Below are 18,191 nucleotides of genomic sequence, written 5' to 3' on the forward strand. Positions count from 1 at the left end.
AGAACAAGATAGAACGAACTCAGTGGCTAGTTTGCCCAGTGAAGCTGTAACTGTTTTGAAGAATGGAAACTTCAGTTATCATGACCTGTTCTCTTTAAATGTCACAATTATATAATTGCTTTTCACATACACATTTAGTAAAGACCAAACAATGCTAATAATTTTCCTTCTCATATATTTTTCCTGTGGAGAAAGACTTAGATGACTATCAGATATACCACATAATAAGAGAGTATCTTGTGCTTCATTATAAGGGATAAGTGTGGTGCTCAACACGTATTACTTGAACAAACATTGAATATATACATCCGCATTTCAGTTCAAGCAGGTTAATCTCTGGTGACATTTGTTGGGGTTAAAGGACCTCACCGGATCCCTTCAACTGTAGCTATGAGATTGAAGGCCATTCCTTTGATCTCCAAAATCAGCCTGTCTATCATGGACCCTTGGAAGCTTGTCTTCCATGGTGATATACTAGCCTTTACCTCATCTTTCATCATTTGGAAGTAGGCTCAGTAGGTGAAAGAAAGAAGCGTAAGTCCATTTTAAAATATCGTAAAACAATCTACAAAAGTCCGATTTCACACTAAGCCTAGTATATTGTAAACCTTACCTTTCTTATCCAAGAGGATTTGAATAAATTAAGCATACATGAATTATGTTTCACTATTAGGAAAACAAAGTTATTATCAATTGTTATCCTCAAATGCCACTGACCAGTATATTTGTTACTTCTATATGCAAGATGTATGTATCTTGTCTTATCTGTCATAATTTGAGTTAGTTTAGAAGAATTTTCTGTCTTATCTCCCTAATCAGCATAGCGATGGCAGGACTTTATTGCTTCTCAAATCGCAGTTCTAAACTTTTGATCGCATTTTATTTTGCTTGCTGATTGTTCCCATGGTGATTTTCTGAATAAAAGAATAATGTCCTTGATCAGAGAAGCCTGGTTTTCATTTTAGAAGGTTAGGTTAATAGTGTTGTATGCTACCTTTGAAGCCATTTCATTTCATAGACACAGCTTGACTTTCAGCCACAAGACTTGACAATGAAAAGAGTTTTTTGGTTATATTTGATTATTTCTACCTGGATAGTCTGTCTGTTTTCTTCCTATTTGGGGAGTCTGACATCACAGTTTTGAATAGTTGGACAGTTTTCTGTTGTCTACTCCCACTTGTTTTAATGATAGACCCAAATAGGGCCAGAACATCTTTTAACTTGTCTATATCATTTAAATAAGCAGAAAAATACAGAGGATAATGTCAGGGCTTGGAGTCAGAAGGTCTTTAAAGCCCTGGGATTGGCAGGGTCATTGATGGCATCTCCTCCAAAAGCTCATTGTGTGGGCTATGTCTTCAGCATCATTTCCATCAATAAGTCATCTACATCTTTGATTTTTTAAAGTCATATTGAGAAATTTTTAAATAATATACAAAAAGTCAAAACAAAAAATAAAAGGAAGAACAGAAAGGAGGGAGGGAAGAAATGAGGAAAGGACAGAAGAAAAGAATGGAAGAAAGAAATTGCCTGCTCTTATTTTTCATCACCTTGAAGTAGCCATATTAGCTCTAGCCCTTCTTGAAGCCTCATAGGAATAGAAAACTTGATTTCTAAACAGCTTGTTTTATATTTTGGGCTTTGATTATTTCCTGTAAGGCCTACTTTGGCATTTTGTAGCTTTCACCATTTCAGCATGTCTAATTTTGAGCTCTTCTGATATTTAAAGAAGATATTATACTTCTATTATTTTTCTCCCAAAAGAACTATGGCATCTTTTCTAAAAACTTTCTAGGGTATTCAGGTTTGGATATTTGTTGTCATTCCAAAGGCTAGAATTATTTGCTTCTAACAAAAAGATAAGTAAGAAAAGAAAGAAAAATGGATGAGACATGCTGCTTGTATCTGAAGAAATAAAGACAGTGACAGCAAAAGAGAATTTAGTTTTACCAAGGGTTCAAAATAGTGACTTGGGGCTAACTCATAATAATATAAAGCTGCCAGCATAATACGAAGACCTTGGGTTCCCATAAAAACAATAATAAAACATTACATTATTTTATTACACTTTGCAGATATTGTGTGTTTTACAAGGGAAAGGTTTGTGAAAACCCTTTTTAAAGCAGGTGTATCAGTACCAGTTTTCCAAAAGTGTGTCCTCACTTCATTTCTCTGTGTCACATTTTGGTAATCATTGCAATACCTCAACTTTTTCACTATTTTGGGGTACCACAAACCACACCCATATAAGATGGTGAACTTAATTGATAGATGTGGTGTGCTGACTGCTCCACTGACCTGCCTTTTCCTCAACTCTCTTTCTCTCCTTAGCCCTCCCTGTTTTCCTGAGACATGACAATATTGGAATTCTGCCAGCTAAGAACCCTACAATGGCCTCTAAGAATTCAAATGAAAGCGAGAGTTACATGTTTGTCACTTTAAATTAAAAACTAGAGATGATTAAGCTTAGCGAGGAAGTCATGCCAACAGCGCAGATAGGCAAAAAGCAAGTCCCTTGTACCAAACAGCCAAGTTGTGAGTACAAAAGCAAAGTTCTTAAAGGAAACTAAAAGTGCAACTCTGTGAACGCACAAATTATAAGAAAACAAAACAGCCTTCCCGCTGATTTTGAGGAAGCTTTAGTAGTCTGGATAGAGGATCAAACCAGTCACACCATTTCCTTAAGCCAAAGCCTAATTCAAGAGCAAGCTCACATCTTGTTCAATACTATGAAGGCTGAGAGAGGTGAGGAAGCTGCAGAAGAAAAGTTTGGAGCCAGCAGAGGTTGGTTGATGAGGTTTAAGGAAAGAGGCTGTCTTTGTAACAATAAAGTGCAATGTGAAACAGCAAGGGCTTATACAGAAGCTGCAGCAAGTTATCCAGGAGATCTAGCTAAGATCCTTGATGAAGGTGGCTGCTCCAAAAAACAGATTTTCAATGGAGATAAAACAAAGTTCTATCAGAAGAAGATACCATCTACTACTTACTTCATAGCTAGAGAGCAGAAGTCAATGTCTGTTGTGGGAAGTCAGGGACCCCGAATGGAGGGACCGGCTGGAGCTGCAGCAGAGGAACATAAATTGTGAAGATTTCACGGACATTTCATAGTTCCCAAATAATACTTTCATAATTTCTTAAGCCTGTCTTACTTTAATCTCTTAATCCTGTTATCTTTGTAAGCTGAGGATGTACACCACCTCAGGGCCACTATGATAATTGTGTTAACTGTACAAATTGATTGTAAAACATGTGTTTGAACAATATGAAATCAGTGCACCTTGAAAAAGAACAGAATAACAGTGATTTCTAGGGAATAAGGGAAGACAGCCATAAGGTCTGACTGCCTGCGGGGTTGGGCAAAATAGAGCCATATTTTTCTTCTTGCAGAGAGCCTATAAACGGACTTGCAAGGAGGGAAGGTATTGGTAAATACTTTTCCTAGCAAGGGATATTAATAATTAATACCCTGGGGTAGGAATTGCATTTCTCGGGGGAGGTCTATAAATGGCCATCTATAAATGGCCACTCTGGCAGTGTCTGTCTTATGTGGTTGAGATAAGGACCGAAATAAGCCCTGGTCTCCTGCAGTACCCTCAGGCTTACTAGGGTGGGGAAAAAACCCCACCATGGTAAATTTGAGGTCAGATCAGTTCTCTGCTCTTGAACCCTGTTTTCTGTTGTTTAAGATGTTTATCAAGACAACACCTGCACAGCCGAACATAGACCCTTATTAGTAGTTCTGTTTTGCCTTTTGTCCTGTTTCCTCAGAAGCATGTGATCTTTGTTCTTCTTTTTGCCCTTTGAAGCATATGATCTTTGTGACCTACTGCCTGTTCTTGCACCCCCTCCCCTTTTGAAATCCTTAATAAAACTTGCTGGCTTTAAGGCTCAGGTTGGCATCAGGGTCCTACCAATATGTGATGTCACCCCTGGTAGCCCATCTATAAAATTCTTCTCTTTGTGCTCTTTCTCTTTATTTCTCAGACTGGCCGACACTTATGGAAAATAGAAAGAACCTACATTGAAATATTGTGGGCAGGTTTCCCCGATAAATGTCTGGCTTCAAAGCTTCAAAGGACAGGCTGACACTCGTGTTAGGGGCCATTGAAGCTGATGACTTTAAGGTGAAGCCAGTACTCATTTAACATGTCAAAAACCCTAGGGTTCTTAAGAACTATGCTCACTCTCCTCTGCTTGTGCTCTGTAATGGAAAAAACAAAGCCCGAATGACAGCTCATCTGTTTACATATAGTTTACTGAATATTTTGGGTCCACTGTTGAGCCCTATTGCTTAGAAGAAACTTTTCAAAATATTACTGTTCATTAACAATGTACCTAGTCACACAAGATCTTTGATGGAGATATTCAAAAAGATTTATCTTGTTTTTATGCTTGGTCACATAACATCCATTCTGCAGGTTAGTGAGTAGTTTTGACTTTCACATATTATTTAAAACACATATTTTGTTAAAGCCATAGCTGCCACAGATTCTTCTGAGGCATCTGGGCAAAGAACATTGGCAATTTTTCATAAAGAATTCACCATTCCAGATGCCAGTAAGAACATTTGTGATTCATGGGAGGAGGTAAAAATAGTAAAATTTACAGGAGTTAAATCATAGATGACTTGGAAGGGTTCAAGATTTCAGTGGAGGAAGTAACTGCAGATGTGGTGAAAATAGCAAGAGAAATCGAGTCTGAAGATGTGATTGGCTTGCTGCAATCTCATGATCAAACTTGCATGGATAAGGAGTTGCTTCTCATGGATGAACAATGAAAGTGGTTTATTGAGGTTGAATCTACTCCTGGTGACGATGCTGTGAACATTGTTGAAATGCCAACAGAGGAATAATACAGAGAATATTACATTGACTTAATTAATAAAGTAGTGGCAGGGTTTGAGAGTACTGACGCCAATTTTGAGAGAATTTCTATTGTGGCTTGTAAACTGCTATCAAACAGCATCACATGCTACAGAGAAATCTTTTGTGAAAGGAAGGATCAATCGATGTGGCATACTTCATTGTTGTCTTTGCTACAGCCACCCCAACCTTCCACACCCATTATTCTGATCAGTCAGCAGCCATCGACATTGAGGCAAGAACCTCAATAGACTATAGTATGGTATAGACATATCTTTTATATGTGTGGGAAACACCACCACCAAAAAAGTGTGAATTGCTTTACTGTAATACTCACTTTATTGCATTGGCCTGAAACTGAACCTACAATATCTCTGAGGTATGCTGGTATATACATATATACATATAGACATATGACTCTATTGTAGAGCATCAAGAAGGATTTTCCACCAAACAGAATCTTATCCATATATTTTCAAGCTAAAAATTTGTAATAACATTAAAAATTAAATGGTAAGAAGAGAAGGAGAATCTGGGCACAGTGTCTCATGCCTATAATCCCAGCATTTTGAGAGACCGAGGTGGCAGGATTGCGTTGAGTCTAGGAGTTTGAGACCAGCCTGGGCAATGCGGTGAAACTCTGTCTCTACAAAAAATAAAAATCATTAGCCTGGCATGATGGTGTGTACCTGTTGTCTTAGGTACTGGGGAGGCTGAGGTAGGAGAATCACCTGAACCTGGGAGGTGGAGGTTGCAGTGAGCTGAGATCATGCCACTGCATTCCAGCCTGGGTGACAGAGCAAGACCATGTCTCAAAAAAATGAAAAATAAAATAAATGGGAAGACCATTTAAAAACCAGAAGCTCAAGTTTCTCCAACTAAGCATATTGCATCTGTCAACTCAATTCAACCCAGACTAATAATAATCCCAATAACAATGACCTTAGTAAACATTCACCAGGTGGTCAAAGCCATGCTAAAGCATTTTGCATATACTCCCTCATTTCAACTTCATAAAACCAATATGAAGTTGTACATAACATAAACATAGAGTTACAGATGTTCAGTACACTTCTTGTAGCCATTGGGCTAGTAAATGGGAACCTAAGATTATAAATGCAAAGAATGTCTGCACTGTAAATATTGTATCTAAAAATCCCTCTGGGACTGCTATGCCTATTCAACTCTATTGGGCATCTCTTCCAAGGTTTTGTCCTGATTCAAAGAATAAATACACTAGAGGAATCAACAGTCATAAATGCCCTTGTTGGTATCTGCTTCTTGCTAAAATGCACTCTAAACATGCCAATGAAAGTTTTATATAAATTCCCCATTCTTCTGCTTGAATCCACATATGACTTCATAACACTTTCATAATGACCCACATGTTCAATGGGACTTTTATGTTCATTTTAATATTGTGTGAGCCATAAGAGTACCACATAGTAATTCATCTTTTATTAACAGCATCGACTCAAGGAAAAATTATATTGTCACGGTTCATACTACTAAGAACCATTTATATTCATTCCATCTCCCTGATTTCCTCTAAATCCTATTTCTACACAATCCTCTGATCTTTTCTTGTTTGAAATATGTTATTCCAGATAAAGCATGCATATCTTTAAAATTATAATTTTGTGATTATATAGAAATTTAAATACCATAATTTGTTGAAAACCAGAGTTTGAAAAGAAGACAAGGAATCCAGGGTCCTTGAAACTTAACCATGCCATCAAAAGTGAAAGAAGGCTGGCATAATTATATAGACTTTATATTGCATCATATAAATATTACTATAATAATATGCAGAAGGCAGGTTCTACTGACAACTGGGTGTTCTCTTCTGTGATTCACTTATCTGTAAAACTAGTAACTTTACTTAAATCACAGTGTTTATTAAAACTCTCAGGTCGTTAGAACCAGGGAGGTTTGTTAAAAATTGTCTTCTGATAACACTTTTCAGAATAGCCAAGATAATGATGTATCTTAGGTATGTATGCACGTATGAAAAAAATCTATGTATAAGTTAAATAATGCAGTATTCTTTTTTCAGTATTTGGCTTATTCCATTTAGCATAATGTCCTATTATGTACATAGGTTTGGAGGTAGGTAAGTATTCATCTATTTTACAGTCTCTCCAGGAGATTCTGATAGGGCTGGTCTTTCAGACTAAATTATACGAGATTGCCCCCAGATTCAGGATTCTTTACCTATCAAAATTATTGCCTTTTTATGAATCCGAACATGTTTTATAGTGGTTATAAGATCATTCCAGGGCTCAATTATGTGTATGGCAGCAATAACCTAATAGTCAACTAAACAGAACCATAAGGATTATCTGACAATGAGGGAGAGGTTGTGGATCTCCTGGTGATGTGTACTACACAATATTCAGCATTCTTTTTTTTTTCCAGGTATGTTTCTTGTTCTGCACCAGAAAATTAATGTTCCTATCTCTCAAATTCAAGTTTCTTCCCATGGTGCTTTACCAAGAAGTGCATTTTGAGTACAAGAAAATTATCATATTGTTACAGAATTTGGCTGGGAGAGTTCTTAGGCAGTGGACTGATAGCCCAGCTGGCAGGGAATGGCACCAGCCCTATTGGGACTGACATTGATCATGGGCACCCTGTTAGGGCTCTATTTGGTTAACCGCCTAGAGCAATCTCTTGATTCTGCTCTTGTTACTGAACTGACAGAAGGTGAAGTTTCAATATTTAATAGTATTAATTGTTGGCTTCATTGGCTTTCTCATTTTTGCGTATTGTATCAGAAAGTCACTACACGGGGAATATGCACCAGAGAGAAAAAGATTGTTATTTAACAAATATTTATTTATTACCTATTACATCCCGCTATACTAGACACTGGATATAATGTAGTGAATGGGAAAGTAAGTTTTCTCTCCCCATGAATTATATACTTAAATCAGAAATAATCATGGCAATAATAATAATTATAATAAATGTAAACACTGTTGGGTGCATGTACTAAATGTTTCGGCTCACTATAGACTCATAACATCCTGAAGGGAGATATTCTTCTTTTTCAAAATTTTATTTTACATATTTAATTCATACGGCATTATATTTTGATATACGTATACCTAGTTAAATGGTTACTACTGCTAAGCAAATTAATCTATCCATCACCTCACATAGTTACCTTTGTGTGTGTATATGTGCATGTGTGGTAGGCGGGGCGGGGGTGGGTAAGAACATCTAAACTCGACTCTATTAGCAAATTTCCAGTATACAATACAAGATTATTAGCTATACTCCTCATGCCATGCATTAGATCCCTAAACTTATTGCTCCTATGCAACTGCAACTTTGCATCTATTGGCCTGTATTTCCCTATTTTCATCTCTCTCTCAACTCCTGGTAATCTCTCTTCTACTAATTTTTCCCATGTATTTGACTTAAAAAAAACCCTACATATTATAAGTAAAATAATACAGTATTCTTCTTTCAGTATTTGGCTTATTCCATTTAGAATAATGTCCTTAGGTACAATATATTTCATAACTTCTTTATCCATTTATTTATCAACAAACACTTAGGTTGCTTTCGTACCTCAACTATTGTGAATAATACTACAATGAATATGTGAGTGCATATATCTCTATATGGGGCTGATTTCATTTCATTTGGATATATACCGAGAAGAGAGATAGATGGGTCATATGGTAGTTCTATTTTTAGTTTTTTGAGCAACCTTCCTATTGTGTTCCAAAATGGTTGTACCAGCTTGCATTCTTACCAACAGTGTACAAGCATTCTCTCTTCTGTCCACCCTTACCAATAGTTGCTGCCTCTTATTTTTTTGAAAATAGTCATACTAACAGATGTGAAGTGATATCTTACTGGAGTTTTGATTTGTATTTCCCTGATGATTAGTGATGTTGAACACTTTTTAATATGCCTATTGGTTATTTTTATGGTTTTATTTTTGGAAAAAATGTCTTTTCAGGTTCTTCAATATTTGAACTGGGTTACTTGATTGTTTTTAATTATTTAGTTGTATGAGTTTCCTAAATATTTTAGATACTAACTCCTTATCAAACATACAGTTGGCAAGTATTTTCTCCCTAATCTGTAGGCTGCCCTTTCATTTTGCTATTATTTCCTTTGCTGTGCAGAAACTTCTTAGTTTGACGTGGTCTCTCTTGTTTATTTTTGCTCTTGTTGCCTAAGCTTTTTTGTATGATACACAAAAAAACCATTGCCAAGGTCAACGTCAAGGAGATTTTCTCCTATGTTCTCTTCTAGGAGCTTTATGATTTCAGTTTTTATGCTTACATATTTAATCCCTTTTGAGTTAATTTTTGTGTATGGTGTAAGATCAGGGTACAATTTCATTATTTTGCCTTTGGATAGCCACTTTTCCAACACCATTGATTGAAGTGACTGTCTTTCCCCCGTTGAGAGTCTTCTTGGTGTCCTTGGGGAAAATTAACTGACCATATATGCATGGGCTATTTTTATGGGCTGTCTACTCTATTCCATTCTTCTATGTCTTTGTTTTTATGCCAGATTGGTATTATTTTTATCTTGATTTTACAGTGTGAATCTTGAGACAAGGAGTCACTTAACCAAGGATAAAACTAGATGGCATACTCAGGTCTGTGTTTCTAATCAGGTTCTTATTTATTTATTTTTACTTTTTAGAGACAGGATCTCACTCTGTCACCTAGGCTGGAATGCAGAGTGTGAACTCCTGGGCTCAATCAATCCTTCCACCTCAGCTTCCCAAGTAGCTAGAATTACAGGTGTGTGCAAGTACACCTGGGTAATTTAAAAACAATTTTTTTTTTTAGAGATGGGGTCTCACTGTGCTGCCCAGGCTGGTCTTGAACTGCTGTCCTCAAACAATACTCAAGGGATACTTTTGCTTTAGTCTCCTGAGTTGTTGAGATTATAGGCAAGAGCCACCATAGCAGGCTCTAATCAGGTTCCAATCTGTTTTGAAGTATAATCTGGATTTCAAAGACTTCATCGCTCCCCAGCTGCATGACCTCACACAAGTTGCTAAGTTGTCCAAATATCAAATTCTTCATTCGTAAAACAGGATTAAAACATCTACCTTGCAGTATTGCAGTAAAGTCATAAGAATTAAATTGAATTAAAAAAAATGTTCCTAGCTTAAAATCTGGCTAGCAATTCACAAATGCCTGTTCTTTTTCTGAAGCTCACCCACAGCCTACTTTTTCTGGCTTTCTCTGTAAGACTGGCAAGTGGTAACTTACTGAAGCACACAGTTATCAGATCTGAAATAGGAAAATCATGGGGCTTACACATGATTGAGCCACTGATAGCTTTCTGTCATGTAGAAGATTTCATTCAGTAAGGGAGCTGACCACAGACAGAGAGTAGAAGCCACAGCGTATCAAGAGTTTAGATGAGAGCTGTCCCAAATCAGTGTCCCTTTAGAAGCAAAGCTTATTGAACACTAAATATTCCATTGAATCTAAATATACCAACAGGAAACAAGGAACTTCTTTCAACCACATGAACTCTGATTTCCAGCATTGTTTCTGATATAGGAGTTAAGAAGAAATCACTTAGGCAGATAGTAAGGGTATGGGAGTCCTCAGTAAGGCTGTTCTTTTTAATGAAAAGCAGCCCTAAATCATTTTCCAACAAAGAGCAGACTGTAAAGTCGAGCTGCAGACACAGACAAGCAAGCTGGGAACTTGCATGGGTGAATACTGGCAGGAACTAGGGGCTAGACATGTTCAAGATGGCGGCTCCGTCTTCCCTTCTCTGTCAGCCACATGTGCTATAAGGAACAGACAAGATGGAGCAGATCAACTGGAAAGGCCATTTGCATAATAAGATTAGAGTGGGGCTACCACCCTTCCCTGCATGCTATGTAAATGCCATACAATCTGGGAGCCCTATGTAAATCAGACACCGCCTCCTCAAACTGGACTGTAAAATCTGGCACATTTGCTGCCAGCCATCCCTTTCAGTTTGGAGAGTCCTCTCTCTATAAAGAGAGCTGTTTCTCTTTCTCTTTCTCTTCTCTTCTGCCTATTAAACCTCCACTCCTAAACTCCTCATGTGTGTGTCCGTGTCCTAAATTTTCCCAGCTTGTGACAACAAACCCCAGGGTATATACCCCAGACAACGTGGCCACTTCATTTCCACAGGAAAATAAGATGAATTCTTTCTTGACAGGTTGGGAATTCCTTTTAATCTGGCAGTAATGAGATCCTTAGTAGTGATATCTAGACATAGACATATTTGTATGAACAAATCTCTGTTCTTTAGGCCTAGTTTGATTCAGTAGTTCTCAGGTATTAAAACCACCTTTGCAAAAATTAGAACAGTGAGAAATTTATGCCAGTGAAAGAGATCTTATCTAACCAACCCCCATCTTGCTTTTAACCTCCAAAGTACCCTTAATCATTCCTAGGTTTGAAACTGCCTTTGCAAAATTATAACTAAGGAAATTATGACATTGAAAGATATCAGACTTAACCCAAATCCATCTTGCTTCTAACCTCCAAACTGTCCTTGTCCCTTCCTGGGCATAGGCTGAACTAGCCTTGGGAAGGAATTTAGTTTATACTTTAAATAACAGCCCTTCTCAAAAGCTAAGCTGTTCTTGTAAAATGAATGAAAGGCTACCAGCCACCAAGTTAGGAAGAAAGAGGCTAGAATTCTAAATATTACCAGCCATGACTCCAGATATAATAAGATTTGCAACTTCCCCAATTACTTTTGAGGATAGAATCAAGAGTAACTATTGAGAACCTAAGATTGAGCTGTCTTTCCAGGTTTTTGCATTTCTGACAATTGTATGGCCCCACCTGGACCTGCCAACCAGTTCTGTGGCCCCACACCCAGGAACTGAACTGACTCAGCATAAGAGGACAGTTTCCACTCTCTATGATTTCATCCCTGAGCCAATCAATTAGCACTCCCGACTAACTGGCCCCCTACCCACCAAATTATCCTTAAAAACTCTGATACCCGAGTTTTTGGGGAGACAGATTTGAGTAATAATAAAACTCCAGTCTCCTGCACAGCTGGCTCTGTGTGAGTTACACTTTCTCTACTGCAATTCCCTGTCTTGATAAATAGGCTCTGTCTAGGCAGTGGGCAAGGTGAACCCATTGGGTGGTTACAGGCTTAGGCCAAACTAACTTTGGGAGACATTTAGCTTATAGTTTAAATGATAATAGCCCTTCCCCAAAACTAAGCTGCCTTTGTAGGTCTACTGAAAGACCACCAGGTTAGGAGGATGAGGAGCCTGGATTCTGCTAAGGTGTAGACATGAATTATTACCTGCCTTTATTCTGGAGTTCACAAGATTTGCAAATCCCTAATTACTCCTGCAGATATCATCACTATTGTAGAACTTATGATTGGCCTTTTGAGATGTCTTTTCAGGTTTTTGAATTTCTGATGACAAATGGCTCCACCAAGACCAGCCAACTTGTCCTATGGCCTAAGGCAGAAGTGGACTCCTTGGCTCACCAAACTATCCCTAAACAATCCTAGCCTCCAAAGTTTTGAGGAGATTGATTTGAGTAATAACTTCACCATCTTCCACATGACATGGTTGGCCTCATGTCAATTAAACCCTTTCTTTATTGCAATGTCATCATCTTAGTAAATTTGTTTTGTCTGTGCAGTGGGATGAAATAACCCATCAGGTAGCTATAATATTATTCTCAATTGTTGTTTGCTTCTTTTCTTTCTGTCTTTTTTCTTTTTTTTTTAAGTGTAGGGCCAGAAAGATGTGATACTTTTCTTCATTTATCAGAAGCATCATGGCTGATACTCTTATAACAAAAGACAGGTTACCAAGAGATAAGCGTATCAAATCTATTTAATAAAAGTTTTACAGCAGGGAATGGTGGTTCATGTGTGTAATCTCAACACTTTGGGAAGCTGAGGTGGGAGGATGACTTGAGCTCAGGAGTTCTGCACCAGACTGGGCAACAAAGCGAGACCCCATCTCTATATGAATAAATAAATAAGTAAATAACCAACAAAAAATCCATAGAATTTTAAATGACTCAGGAGCCTTCTGAAATGAAAACTCAAAGTCCCAGAGAAACTATTCATGTTTATGCTTAGATTCAATGAACGGTGGACACCCATGAAGAAATGTGATTGGGACAATATAATGGTAATAGACTGAGGGGGAAATCCAACAAGGCCTGTTCAGATTCTTCTCAGCTTCTCTGTGTAACATGCCCTCCTCTAAGGTATCGGGCAGGGCACTTCTAGAATGAAGGTGTTAGAAACAAATGCTTGGTGTCGTAAAGAAAATGAGCACTTAAACAAAGGATTTCTCAGCAAGGCAAATTTACTTCTGCAGAAGGGTGCTTCTCACAGGTCTGGTCACCACGAGAGCACACCAAACAAAGGAGGAAAGGGGTTTTTAATGCCTAATGTAGCTTGTCCCTGTTACTGTGTCCTGCCTCCACTGGCTGGAGTTGGACCGCACAATCTAAGCTGAACCTGATTGGCTAACTTGAATGGTACAGGAGTGTGGTCATACTGGCAGGAAGGGCAGTTTTGGCAGGAAAAGCCATTGTGATGAGAGGGGTAATTTACAGAGTGGGTAGCAGATGTGGGCTCTGTAGATAAGGACTGGCAGGAAAGTTGTTTACTGAAACTAAAACAGGGAGGCACAAAGGATAAGGAAGTTAGTTTGGCTTTGGAAGTAGGGAACAAAGAACAAGGACACTGAACAAGCTAAATCTTTGAAGAGGAACTTCTTTTGTATCTGACAAAGGTCTTCAAGGAAGAAGGGAGAGAGTGACCTTTCTAGGTTTTATGGTTGATGCTGGTGGAGAGGAGTTCTAGTTTCTAAGATTTACCTTGAGGAAGAAGAACTGTAGTTTCTGTGGCTTGCAGACAAGGTAGGTCAGAGAATTTCTTTATTACTAGTATCTATGACCCACTTCAGGGGAGAAAGAGTGGATGAAGACAGAAGTAGGAGAAGGTCAAAGAGAAGATTTGCCTCTGAAGCTACTTCTGAGGCCTTTTAATTTCCTTTAATTACAGGTACTCAGCACAGCAAAATGCCAAGCTTTGGGTTATCAGTTTCTGAGCCCCAAAAGAAACAAGTTCCCACATAATACTCTTATGATTTGTGTGGAGACATTTTTTGAGAAATACAGAAATAAACATTTAGGAGAAAATACACTATTATTTATTCATAAATAAGATTAAGAGTGTTTGAAATGTAGTCTTGCCTCCTGAGGTAACACTTAAAGTCCTCCTTACGCACCTATAATTTAGAGTATAGGGAGGAATCTGATAGTGAGTTTAGAAAAAGTGAGAAAAAGTTTAAATTTAAGACTCAGGAAAGAAATTCAAGAAAGAAAAGGCTGAGGGTGGATGGTTAGCAGGGGTTAGAGAATTAACACTTATTTAGCAGTAAACCCTTTTTTTCTCACTTAATTTTCACAGCAAAGCAAAGCTGATAAGCATCATTAGCATCCATTTTAAATTTAAGCAAACTGAACTCCAAGAGGTTAAGAAACTTGCTCCAAGTGACACAGCTGGTGAGCATGTAGCAAGTTAAGATTTGACTGAATCTTAGTAAATGTATAATTTTGCACTGGGACTGGTACTGTTTACATATTCTCTACCCTTGGCTTACTACATTGTATCTCAAACTCTTTAAATATTAATTCACTTAGAAAACCAAACATAATGTCTTTTACTCAGTAGACAATCAACAACCATGAGTTATAGTAATGTTTCTGAATGTGGTTGAATAGAATCCTACTTCGTCATTCATCTTTAACCTTAGAAAGACTCAGTACTTCCGTTTTAACAATTTATATACTCGAGCACAAAAGACTTTATATGGAGCAGGAAGAGGGAGGTAAGTTGGAAAGATGGGAGGGAGAGAAAGAGGGGAAAAAAGAAAGGTTGAAAATCGGAAAATTTTAGCCTAATGTTTTCTAGGCCTAGGCAGATAATTATAGAATTTAAGGTCAAATTCAAAATTATCCTACTATTTTGCTGAAATGATCAAATAGAAATGGAGCAGGGTTTGTGATGATGCGATGATGTTTGTATTTATTTGAATACTTGCACTGTGACAATAACAGGCCAAAAAAAAAAAAAAAAAGAGGCAAATAAGTAAGGTACTGAGTTGTTACCAAACAAAATGTATTTGTAAATTATATTTCTAAATATAATGTACTTTCTGCAATTTGACATTAGCTTGTTATCATGGGTTACTTAGTGGCATTTATAATGCTATTTATTTTTATCTTTTTCCTTCTCTCCTGCCTTTCACTCTTCCTTTCTTTTATTTCTTTATCTTCCTTTTTTAAAGTTTTTTTTTCTTTCTTTCTGAAAAACTCCATCCATGTCAGTTTCCCTTTTACCTGTTTACGTTTCACATTTGTATTTGTCCAAAAAGTGCAAAAATTCTTGGCACGAGTGCCAGACCAACTGATTTATTTGAATAACCTGTCCAAACTCAGTGGCCTACTGATTGCGTGAATGTATGCATGTCAGTTAACTACTTGAAATTAAATTAATCTATAACTCTCGTGAGTAGAGACTGTATTCTCATGAGAGACTGGAGATTCAAATACAGAATTATGTTTAAAGATATCCGATCAATTTAGACAATTTTCAAGGACAAAAAATATATAATTATATCAAATGAACACACTAACTTTACAATAAATTTTAAGTGTAAAGATATTTAAACGTAAAGGTTTTTCACTTCAAGATTTGAAAAGGTTAAAATTGAACCGAGAGTTGTTGCGAAATAGCTATTATTTTTAATCATAAATCTTACTAGGTCTTTTATAAACACTATTACTTATTGGATATTTAGTGATAGGCATGTACTAAGATATTAAAGAGTTATGGCATTTAATTCTCAAAAAATATAAAGTATAAATAATACTATATCAAGTTTTACTAAGTGGCAGATCTGGATTTGTAGCAAAATGTGACTAGCGTCAAGATCAATGATTTTTACTATAATGTTAAAAAGAAATCAACACAAAAGGTGACTACTAAATAGCTAGGATCTCTCTCAGGGCCTTGGAAGTGCTCATGCTAAGGAAGGATTCTAAGGCATAATTTCGTGGTTAACCTCATTTTGTTGCTAAAATGGTAAATAGAGTGATGCATTGTGAACTAAATCTAACTCTTGAATGGGATTAAACTCCAAGCTCTAACTTAAGATAAACATTTAGTTCTGCAGGGGAGGTTCGGAGACATGCTGCTATTGACTTTTATGGTGCCAATGGCTGCCATAGAGTTGGGGTCATCAGGGTTGAGTAGAATATAATTTATAATGCAAAACACAGCAAAAACAATCAGAAGCAGACCAGCTCTCACCAGCCTGCTCTGTGTGACATGAGAACATGTGGAGGAATGAAGTGTTTGTAATTATGAATAGCAGCTATATTACCATAACTACATTATTCATGGCTTCAAATGAAAATGCTGTCTTGAAATTTCATGCCACTGAATTTTTTATTTTTAACAATAATAATTTCTCTCACTCATTGTTTAACAGCTCAACAAAGCTTCAGAATATCAGAGGGGGTCAAGTTCCTCATGTTTGATTTCTAAATGTGACTCATGGGTTTGGCCATAAACAACAGGTATAATGAAAAGAGCCTTTGGAGAGGGAATCCAGGCAGAGTGGGAGGGACTATCAGGCAATTAGTATCTCCAGTCCACTGAAGAGTGAGGAAATGGGCCACTGATTGCTGTTCTCAAGTGCTCTCTCACCCTTAGGTGTCAGGGTAACAACAGGTCAGCAGAAATTCTGTCTGTCAACAAGATTTTACCTCATTGTCTAGACGATAGTTTCAACTTCTTGCCTTTAGAAGAACATAGGAAAAGCAGTCCCTGAAAGGCCTTGATTTTTCAACCAGAACAAAAAGAAACACACACATACATGCACACACCTCAAGTAAAAAGAAAAAAAATAGAAAAAAAACCACAAAAAACAGGAAAGCAATACCCCCACCCTTTCTGGAGTTTAATATGTAGAAAACAATTTACATGCACTACTTCATTTTATTTTAAACATTATCATGGAACATATGAGGCAGGTAGTTTTATACCCATGATAAATGAAGGATTCACAGAGTTTGCAGAGTTGCCCAAGGCCAATGATATAAGTGACAGAGCTAATATTCAGTCCCAAGCAAAAAGGCAGGAGCTCTTTACTTAGGCTTTATAAGACCTTCTGAAAAGTCAAGAGTATTACTAATAAATTCTCTGGTGGAGGTGAGTCTTTCTTGTACTAGCTGTGCAACTAGAAGTTACTTTATCTGTGTAAATCTTATCTACCAAACAAATAGACATAAGCTAACATTAACCTTGTAGGAGTGTTGGTTGGATTAAATAAAATAATCATAGTAAAACACTTCTTTTAGGATGCAGCACAGAGAAAATGCTCAATAAGTCATTGTTTATGACCCCAAAGATGATGAAAGATGATATAGATAGGTAGATGTATATGCAGATATAGATATACACAGACACATGTGTATACACGTTTACACACATACATATGTATGTGTATTGATTTACATATGTTTTATTTTGAAGAATCTCAACCACATTCAAGAATGAAAACAACAGTATAATGAACTCCCATTCACTACTATCCAACTTCAATAGCTTCTCAACTCTTTGCCAATTATGTTTATTTACACTACCAACTCCTCTCACCACTGAATTATTTTGAAGCCAATTCCAGATATCATACACTTTCCTTCTTAAATATTTTAGTATTTCTGAACGACGAGTCTTTTTTCTTCTTTTTTTTCTGTTTTTGAGACGGAGTCACCCTCTGTAGCCCAGGCTGGGGTAGAATGGCACAATCACAGCTCTCTGCATCCTTGGCCTTCTGAGCAGAGGTGATTCTCCCATCTCAATCTCCCGACTAGCTGGGACTACAGCCGTGCACCACCACGCCGGGCTAATTTTTGTACTTTTTGTAGAGACATGGTTTCACCATGTGGCCCAGGCTGGTCTCAAACTCCTGACCTCAAGTGATCCACTCGCCTTGGCCTCCCAATGTGCTGGGATCACAGGCATCAGCCACCGTACCTGGCCAACAATGATGATGGTGGTGATGCCAGTCTTGAGCAGCTGCTGCAAAGATGCCAGCTGAAGTAGGGGAGGTGAGGCCAGGGCTGAGCGCTCTGTGGAGCCAGCAGGGGCTGGGAACAGGCAGGAGCTCCACCCCCTACCAAGTAGGTGGGCAGGAGCCCCATGCTCCCAGGCGCAGCTGCAGTCATCCAGCCACAGCTCCAGGCCTGGGTATCCCTGCACTTTCATGGGCCAGGGAAATCCCTCCAC

General features: G+C 37.7%; 1 long non-coding RNA gene across 1 annotated transcript; it reads left to right on the top strand.

Moving 5' to 3' along the window:
- On the top strand, positions 13,460–16,429 carry LOC105371306 (uncharacterized). Its single transcript, XR_933660.2, has 3 exons — positions 13,460–13,750; positions 14,304–14,398; positions 16,390–16,429. It is a non-coding gene; the product is annotated as an uncharacterized LOC105371306 (long non-coding RNA).
- Positions 16,430–18,191: the final 1,762 nt, after the last annotated feature.

The sequence above is a fragment of the Homo sapiens genome, chromosome 16 (assembly GCF_000001405.40).
Source record: "Homo sapiens chromosome 16, GRCh38.p14 Primary Assembly".
Lineage (NCBI taxonomy): Eukaryota > Metazoa > Chordata > Mammalia > Primates > Hominidae > Homo > Homo sapiens.